The sequence below is a fragment of the Homo sapiens genome, chromosome 12 (genome assembly GCF_000001405.40).
Source record: "Homo sapiens chromosome 12, GRCh38.p14 Primary Assembly".
Lineage (NCBI taxonomy): Eukaryota > Metazoa > Chordata > Mammalia > Primates > Hominidae > Homo > Homo sapiens.
In genome coordinates, this window is record NC_000012.12 from 111,472,387 (window position 1) to 111,496,825 (window position 24,439).

Consider the following 24,439-nt stretch of genomic DNA (forward strand, 5'->3'; position numbering starts at 1 on the left):
AAAGGAGCAGGGTAAAAACTAACATATAAACAGCAATAGCCTTCATATATGGTACTTCATAAGTAATTACTTAGAAGATGCAATGGAAGAGAAGTCCCTGGGTTACACTAACATTAAAAAAGAACCTACCTAAGGCATACACTGAAAAAAATGTACAAAACCTTAAAGATAAACTTTATTTTTATTTATTTATTTTCTTTGAGACAGAGTGTCGCTCGGTTGCCCAAGCTGGAGTGCAGTGGTGCAATCTTGACTCACTGCACTCTCTGCCTCCTGGGTTCAAGCGATTCTCCTACCTCAGCCTCCAGAGTAGCTGGGACTACAGGTGCACACCACACCCAGCTAATACTTTTTTTAAAATATTTTTAGTAGAGACGGGGTTTCACCATGTTGGCCAGGCTGGTCTCGAACTCCAGACCTCAGGTGATCTGCCCACCTCTGCCTCCCAAAGAGGTGGGATTACAGGCGTCAGCCACTGCATCCAGCCAAGGATAAACTTTAATATGCTATTGAAGGTATACTTTGTTCTTGAACAGGAAGACTCAACATCATGAAGACATCAATCATTTCTTCTCAAGTTAATTTATAAGTTTATTGTGATTCTGGCCTGCCATGGTGGCTCATGCCTGTAGTCCCACCACTTTGTGAGGCTGACACAGGCAGACTGCTTGAGCTCAGGAGTTCGACACCAGCCTGGGCAACATGGTGAAACCCTGTCTCTGCAAAATATACAAAAATTAAGCCAGGCACGGTGGTGCTTGCCTGTAGTCCCAGCTACTTGGGAGGCTGAGGTGGGGGGATTGCCTTAGCTCGGGAAGTTGAGGCTGCAGTATGCCCAGATCATCCCACTGCACTCCAGCCTAGGTAACAGAGCCAGACCTTGTCTCCAAAAAATTAAAAAAAAAAAAAAAATTCCAGAAGTTTATACTGATAGTAAGAACCAACGACAAAAAAACCACCTCACTGGTTACCTTTGGAGGATAACAGAAAACCAACTCATTATTTTGAAGACTGCCTTAAAAAGGGAAATGATTAACATTTTAAATTACTTTTCCTAAGAAAGCTATACCTCAGGGTAACCAAACAGCTGGATATGGGAAAGTTTTTCTTTATAGAAATATTCCAGGCAATAATTGAAGAAGGGATGAAAGGAAAAGAATGTCACCATTTTACAACCCCTAAGGAAATAACTGATCTTGGGCTAGACAATTATCATCAATGGCTGCTAAAAAACACACCAAAAAAATTAAGGCGCTAAAGGGACATATTATCTCCTGGATAGATAAAACATCTAGGAACTCACTGACTACTCCTATCAGGAAAAAGACTGATTACATGACTCCTCACTGAAAGTACACACATCTGTGAAACATTGGGGAAAAAAAAAAAAAACCCAATCTGATCAAGCCTTCATTATTTACTATCAGTTTACAAAGATTACAGGGGACAGAAGTCTACTTTAAATATCAACACAGGGATACAGTCAGCAAAATTCAGATCGTGGGAAAAAAATACAAGACAAGCTGGATATGAACAAGACAAAAACTAAGGGAAAAACTGTAATTAAAACTGTGAGGGCTGAGTGCAGTGGCTCATGCCTGTAATCCTGGCACCTTGGGAGTCAAGGCAGGCAGACTGCTTGAGCTCAGGAATTCGAAACCCTGTCTCTACAAAAAATACAAAAATTAGCCAGGTATGGTGGCGCGCACCTTTAGTCCCAGCTACTTGGGAGGTTGAGGTGGGAGGACCACCTAAGCCCAATTGGTAGAGACTGCACTGAGCTGAAATCATGCCACTGCACTCCAGCTTGGGTGACAGAGTTAGACACTGTCTCAAAAAACAAACAAACAAAAAAACCTATGACTTGGCTGGGTGTGATGGCTCATCCAGCACCTCCTAAAGTGCTGGCCTGTAATCCTAGCACTTTAGGAGGCTGAGGTAGAAAGATAACTTAAGCCCTGGAATTTAGGACTAGCCTGGGCAAGATAGAAAGATGGTGAGACTCTGTCTCAAAAAAAAACAAAAAACAAACAAAAAAACAAAGAAGAAGAAAGACAAGACAAGAAAAGAAAAGCTGGCAAGGTGGCATGTGCCTGTAGTCACAGTTACTTGAGAGGCTGAGGAGGGAGGATCCTTTGAGACCAGGAATTCGCAGCAGCAGTGAGCTATGATTGCACTACTGCACTCCAAGCCTGGGCAACAAAGCCAGACCCCATCTCAAAAACAAAAAACAAAACCAAAACCAACTTAAAGATACACACTAAAATGTTGGTGGATAAACTGATGCAATGTCTAGAATTTGCTTCAGAATAATCCAGTGGACTCAAAGCTTTTAAGAGACAATGGGTAGGGATGAAACATGACTGGCCTAGGTTATTAATGTCTCAATACATTCGTAATAAAAAGTTACCGCAAGGCTGAGAGCGATGGCTCACACCTGTAATCCCAGCACTTTGGGAGGCCGAGGCGGGTGGATCATTTGAGGTCAGGAGTTCAAGACCGGGCTGGCCAACATGGTGAAACCCCATCTCTATTAAAAATACAAGGCCGGGCGCAGTGGCTCACACCTGTAATCCCAGCACTTTGGGAGGCCGAGGCGGGCGGATCACGAGGTCAGGAGATCGATACCATCCTGGCTAACACGGTGAAACCCTGTCTCTACTAAAAATACAAAAAAATTAGCCGGGTGTGGTGGCGGGCGAATGTAGTCCCAGCTACTCAGGAGGCTGAGGCAGGAGAATGGCATGAACCCAAGAGGCGGAGCTTGCAGTGAGCCGAGATCGCATCACTGCACTCCAGCCTGGGCAACAGAGCGAGACTCTGTCTCAAAAAAAAAAGGCTGGGCTACTTGGGAGGCTGAGGCAGGAGAATTGCTTGAACCCCAGAGGGGGAGGTTGCAGTGAGTTGAGATTGTGCCACTGTACTCCAGCCTAGGTGACAGAGCCAAGATTCCATCTCAAAAAAAAAAAAAAAAAGTTACCACAATATGAAACAATTAAAAAAAAAAAAAGACTTCAACATATAAACAAATCCAAATTGCAAGCCTGACTTGGACCCTAATTGGAACAAATTATTGTAAAAAGATTTATCTTTTCTGTTTCTTTTTTTTTTTTTTTTTTTTAAGAGGGAATCTTGCTCTGTCACCCAGGCTGGAGTACAGGTGCGCAATCTCAACTCAACTACAACTTCCGCCTCCTGGGTTCAAGCAATTCTTCTGCCTCAGTCTCCCAAGTAGCTAGAATTACAGGTGCCTGCCACCGGGCCCAGCCAAGATATATTTTAAAGATCAGTTGGTTTTAAAAAGGCAACTGATTTTTTTAGTAGTAAGTTAATTATAGAGTTCATATGGAAAAATAAACAGAAAATTCAAGGTAATCTGAAAAAAAAAATCAATGTTGGCAGTGAGTGGATGAGAAGGTAGTCCTATTAGATTAGTGAAGCAGAGTGAAAAATCCAGAAACAAATTCAACCACAAAAAGACACTTGTTATATGATAAAATGGCATTTCATATCAGTTTGTATGACCATAATGGAATTACATTATTATCTATCCATCTATGCGCACGCATACACACACACTTTAAATACAGGGTCTCCTTCTGTCACCCAGGCTGGAGTACAGTGGTACAATCACAGCTCACTGCTGCTTTAAACTACTGGGCTCAAGCAATTCTCCTTCCTCAGCCTCTCAAGTAGTTAGGACTACAGGTGTGTGCCACCACACCCAGCAAATTTTTAAATTGTTTTGTAGATATGGGGTTTTCCTACATCACCCAGGTTGGTCTTGAACTCCTGGCCTCAAGCGATCCTCCTGCCTTGGCCTCCCAAAGCTCTGAGGTTACAGGTATGAGCCACTGTTCCTGGTCAATATGATATACTTAGTAGATGATAAGTATTTGAACATAATCCAACAACCATTCATGATTAAAAAGAAAACAAACCCACCTCTGCAAATTAGGAACTGAAGTAACACCTAACTGTATGCTTAATAGTGAAAGACAATGTCTCACCCCTAAAAATGGGAGCATGGCAAAATCTCATGCCTTTTTCAGTAATGCACCAGTACAATAAGACAAAAAAAAAAAACCCAAAAACACCAACATGGTGATTAGATCATGATTGTATGTTTAAGTCTTAAAGGGCTGCCAGAAACAGTGGGTTTACCAACACATCAAGACACAAGGTCAATATTCAAAAATCAAGTGCATCTCTATTTACGAATAAACAAACGTTGAAAGTTTTTAAAATATAACTCACAACAGCACAAAACAGATGAAATATTAAGGGATAAATTTAAGAAAGCAGGCACAAAACTGATACAAAGAAAACTAGAAAACACTGGTGAAACTTAAGACTTAAATAAATGGAGCAGTATATGATGACCTCAATGAAGATTCCATATTGTTAAGATATTTCTCCCAGAACTGATATAAAGATTCAGTGCACAATCCCAAGCTGATTCTAAAATTTATTTGCAAATTCAAAGAACGCAGAATAAGAGTAATTTTGACGAGAATAAAACTGGGAGACTCATATGAACTTAAAGGTTGGTTACAAAGTAACAGCAATAAAGAGAGAATTGGCATAAGGATATATACAAAGATCAATACAACAAAACAGTTCACAAATAGACACACATACAATACAGTCAACTGAATTCAATAAAGCTACTATGGCTGGGCGCAGTGGCTCATGCCTGTAATCCCAGAACTTTGGGAGGCTGAGATGAGCAGATCACCTGAGGTCAGGAGTTCGAGACTAGCCTGGCCAACATGGTGAGACCCTGTCTCTACTAAAAAAAAAAAAAAAAAAAATACAAATTAGCTGGGTGTAGTGGCGGGCACCTGTAATCCTAGCTACTCGAGAGGCTGAGGCAGAATCGCTTGACCCTGGGAAGTGGAGGTTGCAGTGAGCCAAGGTCACACTACTGCACTCCAGCCTGGGTAACAAGATCGAGACTCTTGTTTCAAGAACAGAAAAAAAATAAAGCCACCAATGGAAAACAGAGGCTGGTGCCAGAGAAACCGAGTAAATATTTATGGTGGAGAAAATGAAGCTAGACCTTTACATCACACCCTACACAAAACCTAACCTGAAATCAACCATATACCTAACCATAAAAACATTCATAACCTAGGGTACGTAAAAGATTTCTTATTATGATACAAAAAAGCATGAACCTTAAGAGAAAAGCTTGATAAATAAGGCTTCATTAAAATTAACAATACTGGCTCTTCAAAAAAAACCGCAGACTGGGAGAAAATATTCACAATATTCTGAGAAAGGACTTGTAACCAGAATATATAAATAACTTAAAATAATTTACTAAAAGTAGTAACTTTATTTTCACAGTAAGAAAAGAAACATGACTTTTTTTTCTTTTTTTTGTGAGACAGGGTCTGGCTCTATTGCCCAGGCTGGAGTGCAGTAGTGCAATCTCAGCTCACTGCAACCTCGATCACCCCTCCATCGCCCTCCAAACCCCCGCAACCTCGCTCAAGCGATTGTCCCACCTCAGCCCCCCAAGTAGCTGGGACCATAGGAATGCGCTTCTGTGCCTGGCTAATTTTTCTTTTTTCTTTTTTTTTTTTGCAAAGACAGGGTTTTGTCATGTTCCTCAGGCTGGTCTCAAACTGTTGGCTCAAATGATCCATCCAGGTTGGCCTCCCAAAGTGCTGGAATTACAGGCGTGAGCCAGTGCACCCAGGCAGAAACATTGAGACAAAAAGAAATTATTAGGACAGGCGCAGTGGCTCACACCTGTAATCTCAGCACTTTGGGAGGCCGAGGCAGGTAGATCACCTGAGGTCAGGAGTTAGAGACCAGCATGACCAACATGGTGAAACCCCACCTACACTAAAAATACAAAATTAGCCAGGCATGGTGGCGCATGCCTGTAATCCCAGCTACTTGGGAGGCTAAGGCGTAAGAATTGCTTGAACCTGGGAGGCGGAGGTTGCAGTGAGCCAAGATGGCACCACTGCGTTCCAGCCTGGGCAATAGAGTGAGATTCCATCAAATAAATAAATAAATAAATAAAATGGAAAAAAGATTTGAACCATTTACTAAAAAAAGGTTGACAGCTGAAAACAAACACACACATGATGAGGTGCTCCTGGATCAGTCATCATCAGAGAAATGTACATTTAAGATCACAATGAGATACCATAAGACACCCATTAGACCTGTTGAAATTAAAAAGATAACACAATACCAAGTGTTGGCAAGGATGCAGAACACATGGAACCTACACATGTACCTGATCAGTTGGAATGTAAAATGACACAATCACTTTAGAAGATTGCTAGTTTCTTATTAATTGAAATATGTATTTACCAGGCAGTGTGTGGTGGCTCACATCTGTAATCCCAACACTTTGGGAGGCTGGGGCGGGTGGATCACTTGTGGTCAGGAGTTCGAGACCAGCCTGGCCAACGTGGTGAAACCCCGTCTCTACTAAAAATACAAAAAAATTAGCCAGGCATGGTGGTGCGCGCCTGTAATCCCAGCTACTTGGGAGGCTGAGGCGGGAGAATTGCTTGAACCCGGGACAGGGAGGTTGCCATGAGCTGAAATCACGCCACTGAACTCCAGCCTGGGCAACAGAGTGAGACTTCATCTCAAAAAAAATAAATAAATAAAAAATAAAATAAATTTTTTAAAAAAATGAAATATGCACTTACCATACCTCAGCAATTCCAATTCTAGGTATTTAACTAAAAGAAATAAAAACACAAACACTTGTACACAAATGCTCACAGCAGCTTCATTCATAATAGCCAAAAGCTGGCAATAACTCAAATGCCCATCGACTAGTAATGGGTAAATTAACTGTGGTATAATCATAAAATGAAATGCTACCCAGCAATAAAAAGGAATAAGCTGGCTGGGCACGGTGACTCACACCTGTAATCCCAGCACTTTGGGAGGCCAAGGCAGGTGGATCATTTGGGGTCAGGAGTTTGAGACCAGCCTGGCCAACATGGTGAAATCCCGTCTCTGCTAAAAAAAAAAAAAAAAAAAAAAAAAAGAGAGAGAGACAAAAATTAGCCAGGTGTGGTGGCACGTGCCTGTAATCCCAGCTACTTGGGAGGCTGAGGCAGTGGAATTGCAGACCAATTCTGGGACACAGAACAAGACTCCATCTCAAAAACAAACAAACAAACAAAAAGGAATAAGCTGATACTAACATGAAATTCAAATTACTACACTGTTTAGGACACACATATGAAATTATATACCAAGCTTGTCCAACTTGCGTCCTGGGACGGCTTTGAATGTGGCCCAACACAAATTCATAAACTTTCTTAAAACATTATAAGTTTTGCTATTTTTTTTTGTTTTGTTCATCAGCTATCATTAGTGTTACTGTATTTTATGTGTGGCCCAACACAATTCTTCTTCCAATATGACCCAGGGAAGCCAAAAGATTGAACACCTCTGTTACACGCTGTTTGATTCCATTTATTAAAAAAAAAAAAAAAATCTAGGGGCTGGCTGAGGTGGCTCACATCTGTAATCCTAGCACTCTGGGAGGCTGAGGTGAGCTCAAGAGTTCGAGACCAACCTGGGCAATATAATGAGACGTCTCCAAAAAAAGATTTTTTTACGTAAAAAAAGAAAAAAAAAAACCTAATCAAAAAAAAAAAAAGAAAAAGAAATCTAAAGAGGATAAATCTAATCTATAGTAAAAGAAGGCAGATTACTGGTTAACTGGAGCTAGTGGTAATAAAGTACAGTTGGACAGAGAAGAGGAACAGGCACAATGTTTTCCATCTTCACTGATGAAGCAAGTAGTTACATGAGCAAATATATTTGTCAAAACTCATTAAAATGTAAACATAAAAAGATGAGCATTTTCTTGTATGTAAATTACAGACTAATAAAACTGGTTAAAACATTTTGGATAGTCATTTAGAACAAGATAAATTGGATTCACATTTTATACTTTAAGATAAATTCTAAAATTAGCCAGGCATAATGGTACAGGCTGGTCTCAAACTCCTGAGCTCAAGTGATCCTCCCACCTCAGCCTCTCAGCCTCCCAGGGTGCCAGGAGACAGGCAGATCACGAGATCAGGAGTTCGAGACCAGCCTGACCAACACGGTAAAACCCCGTCTCTACTAAAAATACAAAAATTAGCTGGGTGTGGTGGCGCACCCCTGTAATTCCAGCTACTCAGGAGGCTGAGGCAGGGGAATCGCTTGAATCTGAGAGGCGGAGGTTGCAGTGAAGCTAAGTTAGCGCCACTCCATCAGAGCGACACTCCATCTCAAAAATAAATAAACAAACAAACAATTTAAGAGGAAAGAATAGTCTTTTCAACAAATGAGGTGGGGACAACGGATATCCACAAGCAAAAGGAAAAACCTGGACCACTACTCTCATCTCATACACAAAAATTAACTCAAAAGAGATTGTAGACTTAAATGTTAAGAGCTAAACTATAAAAATCATAGGAGTTTTATAGGCGTTTCATAGGAGTAAATCTCTGTGGCCTTGAGTTAGGCAATGCTTTGTCTGATATGACATCAGGAGCAACAGCAACAAAAGAAAAAACAAACAGATAAATTGAACTTCATCAAAATTAAAAACTGTGTTACAAAGAACACCATCAAGCAAGTAAAAAGATAACCTATAGTCAGGGCATGGTGGTTCGCGTCTAAAATCTCAGCACTTTGGGAAGGTGAGGCAGGCGGATCATTTGAGGTCAGGAGTTCAAGACCAGCCTGGCCAACATGGTGAAATTCCATCTCTACTAAAAATACAAAAATGGGCCGAGCGCGGTGGTGCACGCCTATAACCCCAGCTACTCTGGAGGCTGACGCAGGGGGATCGCTTGAGCTCAGGAATTCGAGACCAGCCTGGGAAGCACGGAGAAGCTCCATCTCTACAAAAAATATAAAAATTAGCCTGGTGTGGTGGCGTATGCCTGCAGCCCCAGCTATCTGGGAGGGTGAGGCAGGAGAATTGCTTGAACCCAGGAAGCGAAGGCTGCAGTGAGCCGAGATTGTGCCACTGTGCTCCAGCCTGGGCACGATCTCAAAACAATACAAAAAAACAAAAAACCACAATGACACTTCATAACCACTAGAATGGACATAACCCAAACCAAAGACATATCGGTTATTTATGAGGATGTGGAGAAACTGGAACACTTGTACATTACTGGTAGAAATACAAAATGATGCAGCTGCTTTGGAAAAGTTTGGCAGTTCCATCACAGCATTTCTACTTTAGGAGAAATGAAAATCTAAGGCCACATGAAAAAAAATTTTATTTTTTATTTTTTGAGACTCACTCTTTCACTCAGGCTGGGGTGCAGTGGTGTGATCTCAGCTCACTGCAGCCTCCGCCTCCCAGGTTCAAGCGATTCTGATGCTCCTGCCTCAGCCTCCTGAATAGCTGGGATTATAGGTGCACGCTACCATGCCAGTGTAATTTTTGTATTTTTAGTAGAGATGGGATTTCACCATGTTGGCCAGGCTGGTCTCAAACTCCTGACCTCAAGTCATCTGCCCACCTCAGCCTCCCAGACTGCTGGGATTATAGGCATGAGCCACTGCTCCCAGCCTCATATGAAAATTTGTACATGAAAATCCACAAAAGCATTACTCATTGCCAGAAAAAGGAAATAATCCAAATGTTCATCAACTGATGATAGGTAAAAGTGGTATATTCAGGCCAGGAGCAGTGGCTCACACCTGTAATCCCAGCACTTTGGGAGGCCGAGGGAGGTGGATCACTTGAGGCCAGGAGTTCAAGACCAGCCCGGCCAACATGGCAAAGCCCTTTCTCTACTATTTTTTTTTTTTTTTTTTTTTTGAGACGGAGTCTCGCTCTGTCACCCAGGCTGGAGTGCAGTGGCACCATCTCAGCTCACTGCCAGCTCTGCCTCCCAGGTTCATGCCATTCTCCTGCCTCAGCCTCCCGAGTAGCTGGGACTATAGGCACCTGCCACCACGCTCAGCTAATTGTTTGTATTTTTAGTAGAGACACGGTTTCACTGTATTAGCCAGGATGGTCTTGATCTCCTGACCTCGTGATCTGCCCACCTCGGCCTCCCAAAGTGCTGGATTACAGGCGTGAGCCACCGTGCCCAGACTCTGAGTATATCATTTCTATTAAAAAGACAGTACCTCCTGAAGTTAGAATGTGACTCTCCCATCAGATAGCCAAACTGTCATGCTTGCTCTTACTACAGTAACCTTTTATATTTTAATGACAACAAAAAGTTCCCATTGCATTGTTTTAAGTAATCATTGAAAACAGCTACACCTGCTGGTGATACATGAACACCTTAACACTACATTAAAATGGCAGTAAAAAAAAAAACCCACTTTCTTCTCAGAATTTCTAAAGGCCCTCAAAATAAGATTAAACTCTATAATTTGATTACATTATTTCAGGCAGAGTTCTTTCAACAGGTTCATATGTTCCAAGGCTAAAAAAAAAAAAAATAGCATACTGAGAAAACGAAAATTAAGAGTTTTAGTTAACATCTATGAAATCACAATTAGGTCAAACATGGAGAAAATTGGCTGGGCGCAGGCACTTTGGGAAGCAGAGCCAGGCAGATCGCTTGAGCCCAGGAGTTTGAGACCAGCCTAGGCAACATGGCAAAACCCATCTCTACAAAAAATACAAAAATTAGCTAGGTGTGGTGGTGTGCACCTGTAGCCCCCGCTATCCAGGGGACTGAGAAGGGAGGATCGCTTGAGCCCAGGAGGTCAAGGCTGCATTGAGCCATGATAGCGCCACTGCGTTCCAGCCTCAGCAGCAAAGCAAGACCCTGTATCAAACACATACACACACACACACACACACACACACACACACACACACACACACAAAACACCCAAAAAAACACATTGAGGAAATCTTATTAATTCAGGAAAAATGAAAACTTTATGTCAGAAAGGCAATTATTGGGCACTGAGAAATGTCTTTTCTGTATAAATTATTCTACTTTCTATAGTTTCTCAACTGATAGCAGTTAATCACTCTAAATTAACTGGTTGGCAAAAAAAAAACCCTTTAGCATTTTCCAACATTAAAAGAACTCTTTTTTTTTTTTTTTTTTTTTGGACGGAGTCTCGCTCTGTCACCCAGGCACGCACCACCATGCCCAGCTGATCTTTGTATTTTTAGTAGAGACGGGTTTTCACCATGTTGGCCAGGATGGTTTTGTACTCCTGACCTCAAGTGATCTGCCCACCTCGGCTTCCCAGAGTGTTGGGCTTACAGATGTGAGCCACCACACCTGGCCAAAAGATTTCCTTTTAAGAAAAATGTGGGATTTTTTCTACGAAGGCTCTTTAACCACACAAGCACAGAATACTAGTTTATGCAACTACATTATACGACAACTCCCTAATTTTAATGCAGAAACATCCATCTTATTTTTCTTTTTGAGGCAGGGTTTCGCTCTTTCACCCAAGCTGGAGCCCAGTGGTGCAGTCACAGTTCCCTGCAGCCTGGACCTTCTGGTTTCAATTGATCCTCCCACCTCAGTCTCCCAAGTAGCTAGGACTACAGGAGCACACCATGACGGCTGGCTAAGATTTCTATTTTTTTTTTGCAGAGATAGGTTTTTGCCATGTTGCCCAGGCTGGTCTTAAAACTCCCGGTCATGTGATCTGCCCACCTCAGCCTCTCAAAGTGCTGGAATTACACGTGAGCCACCAAGCCTAGCCGAAACATCCTTCTAATAGGATCTTAACATTGGTTGAAGTTAGTTGCCCCTCTGCTTCAAAAGAAATTCTGGCTTTGGGGAAATAACTGTAGGTATATATAAAGCAAGGTTAGCAATCTAGTAAATTAATCTAGCAAACCCTCTTCTTCAAATTTAAGTTCAGATTTAAATCAGATTTCAGATCAAAAAGCTTTGGAATTAACTTTTTTTTTTTTTTTTGAGATAGGGTCTCACTATATTGCCCATGCTGCTCTCGAACTCATGGGTTCAAGTCATCCTCCAGCTGGGATATCAGGCATGGAGCCACTGTGTCCAGCCAATTAGTCTGGTTTTTTTGTTTGTTTGTTTTTTGTTTGTTTGTTTGTTTTGAGATGGAGTCTCACTCTGTTGCCCAGGCTGAAGTGCAGTGGCACGATCTTGGCTCACTGCAACCCCTGCCTCCCGGGTTCAAGCAATTCTCCTGCCTCAGCCCCACCTAGTAGCTGGGATTACAGGCGGCAGGTGCCACCATGTCCGGCTAATTTTTGTATTTTAGTAGAGATGGGGTTTCGCCATGTTGGCCAGGCTGGTCTCAAACTACTGACCTCAGGTGATACACCCACCTCGGCCTCCCAAAGTGCTGGGATTACAGGCATAAGCCACCATGCCCAGCCAGTATTTATGTTTGAGACGGGGTCTCACTCTGTCGCCCAGGCTGGAGGGCAGTGGCATAATCACAGCTCACTGCAGCCTCTACTTCCTGGGCTCAAGTGATCCTCTCGCCTCAGTCCCCCAAACAGCTGGGGCTACAGGCATATGCCACCATGCCCAGCTAATTTTTTTGAATTTTAGTAGAGACAAAGTCTCTGTTGTCCAGGCTGATCTTGGGCTCCTGAGCTCAAGCAATCCTCCTGCCTTGGCCTCCCAAAGTGCTAAAATTACAGGTGTGAGCCATCACACCAGGCCTCCAATTACTCTTTTTGAAGAGGATACTATATAATCACAACTGATGGGCATTTTTTCTCCCCTGTTTTTCTTCATAAAATCCATGTGAATATCTATGTAATGTTGTTCATCAAAAGCCAATGCATAGCCTCATCAAAAAGTCAGAGCTAAACTACAACTATTTATTCATTATAAACTTAGTTACTCAATTCATGCAGCATGCAAACTACAAGCAAACACAGGCAGGATTATTCTCACCTTTACCTGCTCTATATGTCTTGGCTTGATTCACTGGCATGGGCGTCATAGGTATTGGGTATAAAGGCTTGAGAGAATTAAAAAAAAAATTAACATTAGGCACCTATGATAATAACAAGGTATTCTGTCACTCTTAGTTTTATATTGCTAGAGAGCTAGGCATGAGAAGGTTTCCTGATTCTCCATTAGTCATTAAAAAATTAGATCATACCCACAGCTAAAAGGAACAAACCCCAAACTACAGTAAATCTAAACCATCTTTTTCACAGAAAACATTCTCAGATTTAGGTCCTCATACTTAACAACACACTGAATCTCTGCATGCCTGTCTGTTTCAAATGCATATGCATAACCATCACACCCTCAAGTCACTGAAAACCTAAAGAGTGCTTGGTGTCAGATACAAACAATTGGGGAGGCTAAGTGAACATCAAATTCTATGACTTACTTGCACGCCTGGGCTCACTGGGACTGGATACATCATATTTGGTGCAAAACAAACAGGCTGAGTATAAACTGGAGTTGGCTGTTGATGACCCACCATAGATGGGCTAGGTTGTGCTTGAGGCCGAGGTGAAGTTGGGGTAGTAGAAGGCTTTGGCTACAAAAACAACAATAAATTCAATTATCTCAAGGTAACAGATGAACTATTATTGCAATTTAAAGACGGATTTTCCCAGTCTTTCTAATTTTACTTGCTTTAACTATGTCCCTTTTATTGAAAACAAAAACACAGCACATAAATTTTCACATTTCAATAAAAGAAAAAATGTTTCAGTAGGAACTTAAAACTTTGTCAATTAAAAAATATTAAAAACAGTGGCAGCTATTTTTAAGAAACTGATGGAAGTGTTTTTAAAAATTAAAAATAAATATATCTTCTTATGATCTCAGTCGAATAATAACAATAGTACAGTCATCTCTTAGTATCTGTGGGGGATTGGTTACAGTACCCTGTGAAGATACCAAAGTCTTGGAATGCTCAAGTCCCTTACATAAAATCATGTAGTATTCGCATACAACCTATGCATATCCTCCTATATACTTTACATCATCTCTAGATTATTTATAATACCTAAAACAAGGTAAATGCTTTACTGTATTGTTTTGGAATAATGACAAGGAAACGTCTGCATGTGTTCAGTATAGATTATCCTAACTATGTTTTTGATCCATGGTTGGTTGAATCCAGTGATGCAAAACCCTCAGGTGCAGAGGACGTATCTATAAACCTGACAGCCTAGCTAGCCAACCATCGTCAAATTCTGGGTCAGAGAAATTCAAAGATTTGCCCAAGATCACATCTAATTGATGACAAAACAAAGACCTTTTTTTAATGTTTAAAAAGTATTCATTAATGGCCATGTAAAAAAAAGAAAGAAGGTTGGTTCAGCACACTAAAACAAAATTCAGATGGCAGGTATGGAAGAAGGACTATTACTAATAATTTTTCTTTTTTTGGGACTAGATAACCTCAAAGAAAGTAATAAACCTACCTGAGAGAAGGAACGTGGGTTGAACTCCTTTGCATTGGGATTCAATGTTGATTTCCTAACTTGCCTAAAAAAAATATAAAGGCCAGTGAAATCTACATGGACTTTACGTTGCTCTAAAATCTTCCATACCTGACAATTTAAAAAAAATTGCTAAATATAGATTTAAACTGTTCTCACTAGAAGATCACTAATCGTTTTTATTGAAACATATACACTTATATTGCCCATTCCTTAATCCCTTAAAGAATACAGCCATAAAAGAACAATTTTTTAAAAATCTGAGTAATATACAACCGTTCCTCTCAAAGGCAATCAAAAAATACTTTTTTTTTTTCCTTCACAGAGTCCCACTCTGTTGCTCAGGTTGGAGTGCAGCAGTGCAATCTTGGCTCACTGCAACCTCTGCCTCCCGAGTTTAAGCCATTCTCTTGCCTTAGCCTCCTGATTAGCTGGGATTACAGGAGACTGCCACCACGCCCAGCTAATTTTTTTTAATATTTATTTTTAGTAAAGATGGGGTTTCACCATTTTGGCCACGCTGACCTTAAGTGATCTGCCTGACTCAGCCTCCCAAAGTGCTGGGATTACAGGTATGAGCTACCACGCCTGGCCAATCAACAAACACTTGAGCTGAAAAGACAGTAGCTACTTATGAAATATCCTTAAAAGCAATTCTTAACATAACAGTATCCTTTTATTTATTTATTTATTTATTTTTGAGACAGAGTCTCGCTCTGTCACCCAGGCTGGAGTGCAGTGGCATGATCTCGGCTCACTGCAGCCTCCACCTTCTGGGTTCAAGCAATTCTCCTGCCTCAGCCTCCCGAGTAGCTGGGATACAGGCACCTACCACCATGCCTGGCTAATTTTTGTATTTTTAGTACAGACAGGGTTTCACATGTTGGCCAGGCTGGTCTTCAACTCCTAACCTCAAGTAATCTACCTGCTTGGACCTCCCAGAGTGCTGGGATTATAGGTATGAGCTACCAGTCAACATACCAATATTCTAGCATGCAGTAATTCTTATGTGAGAAGATATTTTACATGACATACCTGGAAAAAGTCATGGCTGTAAAAAAAAATTGCCTCAAATCAAGAATAAGCAGTCCCCAATTTATCAATAAGCTGCATTCCAAAACTTCAGCTTTAACTGGATTGTTTGGTACCCAAACACCTAAGTCAATGGTAGTTAAGTTCTGAGGTTAGCCCCTAAAAGTCCATTTAATTAATATACTGAATGTGCAGAATTAAGTCTATCTTAACAAATCTAAACATTAACTAAAACACAGTTTCTGATGAAAAATATTTTGAATTCCAAGTAGAAGCACCGCATGCTTCTCTCCTTGACAGTGGCAGTTTTTCAACCTAGCAGCACAGTGAGGGTGACTAATGAGTGGAATCCAGTAAAGATAGGTCCCCTGAATTGATAATTTTTCAACTCCTGTTCATTTACAGAAAAACTTTTCTTAATTTATGCCTTGTTTTTCTAGCCCTGGGGTACAAAAAAGGGGAAGAACAGAAGAGTAGCACAGGGTGCAATAACCTCATTTACTTAAGATGTCATTTGTTTGGACTAGCTGTTTGTAAACTAAGGGCAATGTATAAAGTAGTCTAAAAGTCCAGATGGATTCTTCACAGTTGGAAGGACCTAAATGCCTTTAAAAAAAAAAAAGTTAATTGAGTAACAGGATGGTCTAAGTTCCAGGTTTACTCACTCAGCTGCGTCTTTCTTCTCTTCCTTATCGTCTTTCTCTTGTTTACATGCTGGGCTGGAAGTCTGAACCCCTTGGGAAGTGACCTCAGGTCCCCTCTTGTGCTCCGTGTTACTAAGTATTGAAGGGGAAATGCTGGGGCTATTCGGCTTGCTGCTGCCACTGGTACAGTTGCTGCTGCTATTTTCAATGAAAGAATCCTTAGCACTTGGTTCAATTTTGTCTTTGATCAAATCTCTTGATTTTTCTCCCTCTCTATTTTTGTTTAGTAGTTGATCCATAGATTCAGAAGTAGAACTTGGCTGTAACTAAATAAAGGAAACAATTATACTTAAATATCTTAAATAACTTTAGTAATACATTTTTGCCATGAGCACAAGCTACGTAATATTAACTATACGCATGAAATGTTCTGAATAAGGCTTTTTTCATACTTTAAGAGTAATGCTTTTACTATAAACTAACAATAACAGAGTACCTATATAGCACAACCACAGTCACCAAAGCACTCAAATGTCCTAGCCTCTAAAGTTCAATATTTACTGAGTGCTTACCACATGTCAGAAATTGTGCCTGCTGGGTGAGAAAAATATGAAATAGTTTCTATCCTCTTATACTTGTCATTTAAATAAGATCAGACACTTCACAATAAAATGAGTAAATGCTAAGAGAGTCTATAGAAAAAGCAACCTATAAAAAAGAAAGGTTTCTCAGTAAAGTGTCAGCTAGTCTAAGGTGTGAAAGAAGTTTAGGAAAGGTGTTGGGATGGAGAATAGTCTAAGTAAAAGGAAGAGTATGTTTAAAAATCCAAAGAAAAGGGAGAAGCTGGCTCTATCACATAAAACAATAGCACCAATGGGGGCCGGGCACGGTGGCTCACGCCTGTAATCCCAGCACTTTGGGAGGCCAAGGCAGGCGGATCACGAGGTCAGGAGATCGAGACCATCTTGGCTCACACGCTGAAACCCCATCTCTACTAAAAATACAAAAATTAGCCAGGCATGGTGGCAGGCGCCTATAGTCCCTGCTACTCGGGAGGCTGAGGTAGGAGAATGGTGTGAACCTGGGAAGTGGAGCTGCAGTGAGCCAAGATCACGCCACTGCACTCCAGCCTGGGTGACAGAGCGAGACTCCGTCTCAAAAAAAAAAAAAAAGATAGCACCAATGAGCTGGGCACAGTAGCTCATCACTGTAATTCCAGCCCTTTGGGAGGCTGAGACAAGCAGACTGCTTAAGCTCAGGAGTTCAAGACCAGCCTGGGCAACATAGTGATACCCTGTCTCATTTAAAAAATAATAATAAAATAAAATAAAATAACAAAAATAAAGAAGTAAAGAAAAGCACCAATGGCTGGACCAAGGGTGAGACACACATGTACAAGTGAGTCAGAAAATGATAGACTCGTCAAAAGGAATATGACAATAAAGGAACTTAAAAGCTATGTTCAGGGCTGCGTGCAGTGGCTAACACCTATCATCCTAGCACTTTGGGAAGCCAAGGCAGGTGGATCACTTGAGGTCAGGAGTTTAAGACCAGACTGGCCAACATGGTGAAACTCCGTCTCTACTAAAGATAAAAAAAAAAAATTAGCCAGGCGTGATGGCACACGTGTAAATCCCAGCTACTTGGGAGGCTGACATATGAGAATTGCTTGAACCCAGGAGGCGGAGGTTGCAGTGAGCCAAGATCACACCACTGCACTCCAGCCTGGGTGACAGAGCAAGACTCCATCTAAAAATTAAAAAAAAAAAAAAAAAAGTTTTAAAAAGCTACGTTTAGGACTTTGGCTTTTAATTCTCAGGGCAAATGGGCAGTCTATACGGAATTTTAAGTAGGGTAGAGTACTGGGCAGATTTATAGTTCAGAAAGGTGAACACAGCAGCTTTGTGTGAAATGAACTGGAGGGAGGCTAATTAGGATGTGGAGGGACCGTCATGGAGGCTGGACTAAGCGCTGGGCCTAGTCAGCTTGGAAGGTCATTAAGTAGGTGAATTCAGAATGAGACCTGACTGTACATATTGGTCAGTTAGACATTCTAAACCCCTAAGTAAAAAAAGGAGATGGCAGGGGAGAAGAGACAGAGCATGGTGGCCAAACAGAACCTTCCAGTGATCATCCCCAACAAGGAGCACCAAATTGAACAACTATCCACACAAGAAAGCACCTTCATAAGAACCAAAAATTAGGTAAGCGATCACAGTACCCAGTTTTGACATCCTATCAAGGAAAAAGACACCAAAAAAGATAAGGAAGATAGTCTTGAACTGCCCCTCCAACACCCCTGACATTCCCCCACAATGCAGTGTGGGGTGGAGAAAGAATCTGTGTGCTCGGGGGAGAGAGAGAGAAATGACTGTGGGATTTTGCATTGAAACTCAGTGCTGCCCTGTCACAGTGGAAAGCAGCATAGGACAGAATTCAGCCAGCACCCACAGAGGGAGTATTTAGACTAGCCCTAGTCAGAGGGGAATTGTCCATCCCAGTGATTAGAATCTGAATTTCGGGCTGGGCACTATGGTCTGTAATCCCAGCACTTTGGGAGGCCGAGGCGGACGGATAACCTGAGGTCGGGAGTTCAAGACCAGCCTGACCAACATGGAGAAACCTCATCTCTACTAAAAAACAAAAAAATTAGCCAGAGGTGGTAGCGCATGCCGGTAATCCCAGCTACTCAGGAGGCTGAGGTAGGAGAATTATTTGAACCCGGGAGGCGGAGGTTGTGGTGAGCTGAGATTGCGTCACTATACTCCAGCCTGGGCAATAAGAGCGAAACTCTGCCAAAAAAAACCAAAAGAATCTTAATTTTGGTAAGCCCCACCACCGTGGGTAAAGTCCTCTGGGGTCCTAAATAAACTTGAAAGGCAGTCTAGACCAGAAGGACTGCAATTCCTGGACAAGTCATGGTACTGTGCTGGGCTCATAGTCAGTGGACTTGGGGTACATGTGACCCACTGAGACACCAGCTAGGGTGGCCAAGGGAGTGCTTGTGCCAGCCTTCCCCCAACTCCAGGTACCACAGCTCACAGCTCTGGGAGGAGAGGGAAGAGTAGGGAGGACTTTGTCTTGCAATGTGGATACTAGTTCAGCCACAGTAAAATAAAGCACCAAGCATAGTTCTGAAGCCTCAATTCTAGGCCATAGCTCCCAGATGACATTTCTAGACATATTCTGGACCAGAAGGGAACCCATTGCCTTGAAGGGAAATACCTAGTCCTAGTAGGATTCACCACCAGCTGACTAAAGAGCCCTTGTGCCTTGAATAAAAAACAAGGTGCCATGTCGTATTGTGCCAGCTTCAGATATGACCCCGCACATTCACAGCTGTGGTGTCCATGGGGAGACCCACCTGCTTGAGGTGAGAGAAGAGTAAAAAGGACTTTATCTTGCAAGTGGGTGCCAGCTCAGCCCCAGTACAATAAAGCAGATTCCTAAAGCTCCCGATCCCAGGCCCTGGCTCCTGGGCAGCATTTCTAGACACACCCTGGGCCAGAAGGGAACCTGCTGCACTGAAAGTAAAGACCCAGTTCTTGCAGGATTCTTCACCTACTGACTAAAGCACCCTTGGGCCTTAAATTAACATCAGTGGTGGCCAGAAAATAGCTGCCACAGGCCTTGGGTGAGACCAAGTACAGTTCCAGTGACGGTGGCCATGGCAGTGCTTGTGTCACCCTTCCCCAAACTCCAAGCAGCTCAGCACAAAGAGAGACTCCATTTGTTTGGAGAAATGTAAGAGGACAAGAGACTGCCTGGTAATACAGGGAATTCTCCCAGATCTTCCCCAAGACTACCAAGGTGATACCTCTACAGAGTCACAACATTACTAGTCTTGGGGTGCCCTCTAATGCATGTATGGCTGCAGTGAGCGAAGACTTAGATGACAACACTTAATTCCCTTTGAATACTTGAAAAACCTTCTCAAGAAGAATGGGAGCCGGATGCAGTGGCTAACGCCTGTAATCCCAACACTCTGAGAGGCCAAGGCGGACAGATCACGAGGTTAGGAGTTCGAGACCAGCCTGACCAACATGGTGAAACACCATATTTACTAAAAATACAAAAATTAGCCAGGCGTGGTGGCACGCACCTGTAATCCCAGCTACTCAGGAGGCTGAGGCAGGAGAATTGCTTGAATCCGGGAGACGGAGGTTGCGGTGAGCAAAGACTGTGCCACTGCACTCCAGCCTGGGCGACAGAGCGAGACTCTGTCTCAAAAACAGAAAAAAAAAAAAAAGAATGCGTACAAACAAAACCAGACTACAAAGAACAGAATACCCAACTCTTCAATGCCCAGACACTGATGAACATCCACAAGCATCAAGGCCATCTGAGAAAACATGACCTCACCAAATGAACTAAAAATAAAGGACACCAGTGACCAATTCCCAAGTGATAAGAGATATGTGAACTTTCAGACAGAATTCAAGCTGAATGCTTTGAGAAAGTTCAACGAAATCCAAGATAATACAGAGAACAAATTCAGAATCCTATAAATTTAAAAAAGAGACTGCAATAATTATTAGTAAAAAGAATCAAGCAGAAATCCCAAAGTGGAAAAATTCAATTGACAAACTGAAAAATGCATCAGTCTCTCAATAGCAGAAATGTATCAAGCAGCAGAAAACATTAGTGAGCTTGAATTCAGGCTATTTGAAAATAAACAACCAAGTTGGGCACGATGACTCACGCTTATAATCCTAGCACTTTAGGATGCCAAGGCGGGCGGATCACCCTGAGGTCAGGAGCTCAAGACCAGCCTGGCAAATATGGCAAAACCCCGTCTTTACTAAAAATACAAAAAGTAGCTGGGCGTGGTGGCACATGCTTGTAATCCCAGCTACTTGGGAGGCTGAGGCAGAAGAATCGCTTGAACCTGGGAGTTGGAGGTTGTAGTGAGCCAAGATGGCACCACTGCACTCCAGGCTGGTAACAGAGCATGACTCTGTCTCAAAAAAAAAAAAAAAAAAAAAAAGTTCTTCAATCTGCAAGAAAAGGATGTTAACAAACAATAATAAATCACCTGAAGGTGCAAAAACTCACTGGTAACAAGTACACAGAAAAATACAGAATATTGTAACACTGTAATTGTGGTGTATAAACTACTACTCATATTTTGAGCAGGAAGAATAAAAAATGAACCTTTCAAAAATAAGAACTACAATTTTTTTTTTTTTTGTGAGACAGAGTCTTGCTCTGCTGCCCAGGCTGGACGGCAGTGGCGCGATCTCGGCTAACTGCAACCTCCGCCTCCCAGGTTCAAGCGATTCTCCTGCCTCAGCCTCCTGAGTAGCTAGGATTACAGGTGCGTGCCACCACGCCTGGCTAATTTTTGTATTTTTAGTAGAGACAGAGTTTCACCACGTTGGTCAGGCTGGTCTCGAACTCCTAACCTTGTGATTCGCCCCACCTTTGCCTTCCAAAGTGCTGGGATTAGGCGTGAGCCACTAGGCCAGGGTTTTGTTTTGTTTTGTATTGTTTTTTGAGACAGTCTTACTCTGTTGCCCAGACTGGAGTGCAGTGGCGCACTCTCGGCTCACTGCAACCTGGGCCTCCTGGGTTCAAGTGATTCTCCTGCCTCAGCCTCCGAGTAGCTGGGATTACAGGCACCCGCCACCATGTCCGGCTAATTTTTCTATTTTTAGTAGAGAGGGGGTTTTGCCATATTGGCTAGGCTGGTCTCGAACTCCTGACCTTAGGTGATCCGCCCACCTCAGCCTCCCAAAGTGCTGGGATTACACACGTGAACCACTGCGCCTGGCTTATAACTACAGTTTTTTAAGACATAGTATAATAAAGATATAAATAAAAACAACAAAAGTTAAAAAGCGGGCAGATGAAGTGTAGAGTTTTTATTAGTTTTCTCTTTGCTTGCTTGTTTTTGCAATCAAAGTTTCAAGTTGTCATTGGTTTAAAATAATGGGTTATAAAATGTTATTTGCAACCCTTATGTGATCTCTTTTTTTTTTTTTTTTTTGAGACGGAGTCTCACTCTGTCGCCCAGGCTGGGGTGCAGTGGCACAATATTGACTCACTGCAACCTCTGCCTCCTGGGTTCAAGCAATTCTCCTGCCTCAGCCTCCTGAGTATCTGAGATTACAGGCACGTGCCTCCACGCCTGGCTAAGTTTTGTATTTTTAGTAGAGATGGGGTTTCACCATGTTAGCCAGGCTGGTCTCAATCTCCTGACCTCTTGATCCACCCACCTCGGCCTCCCAAAGTGCTGGGATTACAGGTGTGAACCACTGCACCCAGCTGTCATGGTGATCTTAAATCAAAAACACCTACAACAGATACACAAAAAATATAAAGCAGGAAATTAAAACATACCACCAGAGAAAATCACTTTCAAAACAAGGAAGGGAGGGAGGGAAAAAAGGAGCGAAGAGGAAGTAAAAAAGAAGGGGGAAGGGAGGGAGTAGGACTACAAAACAACCAGATAATAAGTAACAAAATGGTAGTAGTTAAGTCCTCACTAATCAGTAACAACACTGAATGTAAATCGACTAAACTCTCCAATCAAAAGATACAGAGTGGCTAAATGGATTTAAAAAAAAGGCTGGGTGCGGTGGCTCACGCCTGTAATCCCAGGACTTTGGGAGGCCAAGGCAGGCAAATCACCTGAGGTTAGGAGTTCAAGAACAGCCTGACGAACATACTGAAACCCCATCTCTACTGAAAATACAAAAAATTTAGCTGGGCTTGGTGGCAGGCGCCTGTAATCCCAGCTACTTGGGAGGCTGAGGCAGGAGAATCGCTTGAACTCAGGAGGCGGAGGTTGCAGTGAGCTGAGATAGCGCCATTGCCCTCCAGCCTGGGCAACAATAGCAAAACTCTGTCTCAAAAAAAAAAAAAAAAAAACCAAAGATCCATTGCCTACAAGAAACACACTTTACCTATAAAATCACACATAGACTAAAATTGAAGAGCTGGAAAACAATATTCCATGCAAATGGAAACCAGAAAAGAACAGGAGTAGCTATGCTTAGATAAAATAGATTTTGAGACAAAGTCTATAAAAACAGACAAAGAAGATTATTGTATAATGATAAAGGGATCAATTCGGCAAGAGGTTATAACAAGTATAAATACATATGCAACCAATACTGGAGCATCCAGATATATAAAGCAAACATTATTAGAGCAAAAAAGAGAAACAGACCTCAGTAACAGTCGGAAACTTCAACACCCCACTCTCAGCAATGGACAGATCATTCAGACAGAAAATCAACAAAGAAACATTAGACCTAATTTGCTCTATAGACCAAATAGGCCCAATACATATTTACAGAACATTGTGTCCAACAGCTATAGAATACACATTCTTCTCCTCAACATATGGATTGCTCTCAAAGATAGACCCTATGTTAAGCCACAAAACAAGTCTAAAGATTTGACGTGGCACAGTGGCTCATGTCTGTAATCCCAGCACCTTGGGAGGCCGAAATAGGTGGATTGCTTGAGCTCAGGAGTTCGAAACAACCCTGGGACACATCGCAAAGCCCCATCTCTACAAAAAAAAAAAAAATCCAAAAATATCAGCCATATGTGACGGCATGTGCCTGTAGTCCCAGCTACTTGGAAGGCTAAGGTGGGAGGATTGCTTGAGCCAGGAAGGCGGAGGTTGCAGGTGAGCCAAGATCATGACATGTACTCCAGCCTGGGTAACAGAGTGAGACTCTGTTACAAACAAACAAACAAACAAACAAATAAATAAATAAAAATTCAAAAAAGTTAAAATCATATCAACTATCTTCTCTGATCACAATAAGATAACACTAGAGGCCGGGCACGGTGGCTCATGCCTGTAATTCCAGCACTTTAGGAGGCCAAGGTGGGTGGATCATCTGAGGTCAGGAGTTCGAGATCAGCTTGACCAACATGGTGAAACCCCCTCTCTACTAAAAATACAAAAAAAAATTAGCCAGGAGTGGTGGTACATGCCTGTAATCCCAGCTACTCAGGAGGCTGAGGCAGAAGAATCACTTGAACTGGGGAGGCAGAGGTTGCAGTAAGCCGAGATCGCGCCACTACACTCCAGCATGGGTGACAGAGCGAGACTCCATCTCAAAAAAACAAAAATAAAAATAAAATAAAATAACACTAGATAACAAGAGGAACTTTGGAAAGTATACAAATACATGAAAATTAAGCAATATGCTCCTGAATGACCAGTGGGTCCATGAAGAAATTAAGAAGAAAACTGGAAAATTCCTTGAAACAAATGAAAATGGAAACACAGCTTATCAAAACCTATAGGATACAGTAAAAGCAACAATAAGAGGAATGTTTACAGCAGTAAGTGCCTACATCAAAAAAGTGGAAAAACTTCATCTGCCAATACATCCTAAAGAACTAG

The 24,439-nt window shown here is 42.0% G+C and overlaps 1 protein-coding gene across 5 annotated transcripts in view; it reads right to left on the reverse strand.

Moving 5' to 3' along the window:
• ATXN2 (ataxin 2) overlaps window positions 1–24,439 on the reverse strand; it is a 147,460-nt gene that overhangs the window by 20,173 nt on the left and 102,848 nt on the right. For 3 of the 5 annotated variants that reach the window (NM_001310123.1, NM_001310121.1, NM_002973.4), the window contains 4 exons: window positions 16,090–16,394; window positions 14,375–14,438; window positions 13,327–13,479; window positions 12,885–12,945 (listed from right to left, as the gene is read on the reverse strand). In NM_001310123.1, coding sequence (NP_001297052.1) covers window positions 12,885–12,945; window positions 13,327–13,479; window positions 14,375–14,438; window positions 16,090–16,394 — 583 coding nt within the window. Of the gene's footprint in view, window positions 1–12,878; window positions 12,946–13,326; window positions 13,480–14,374; window positions 14,439–16,089; window positions 16,395–24,439 lie in introns of all 5 variants that reach the window. The other 2 variants (NM_001372574.1, NR_132311.2) reach the window with 2 other exon arrangements.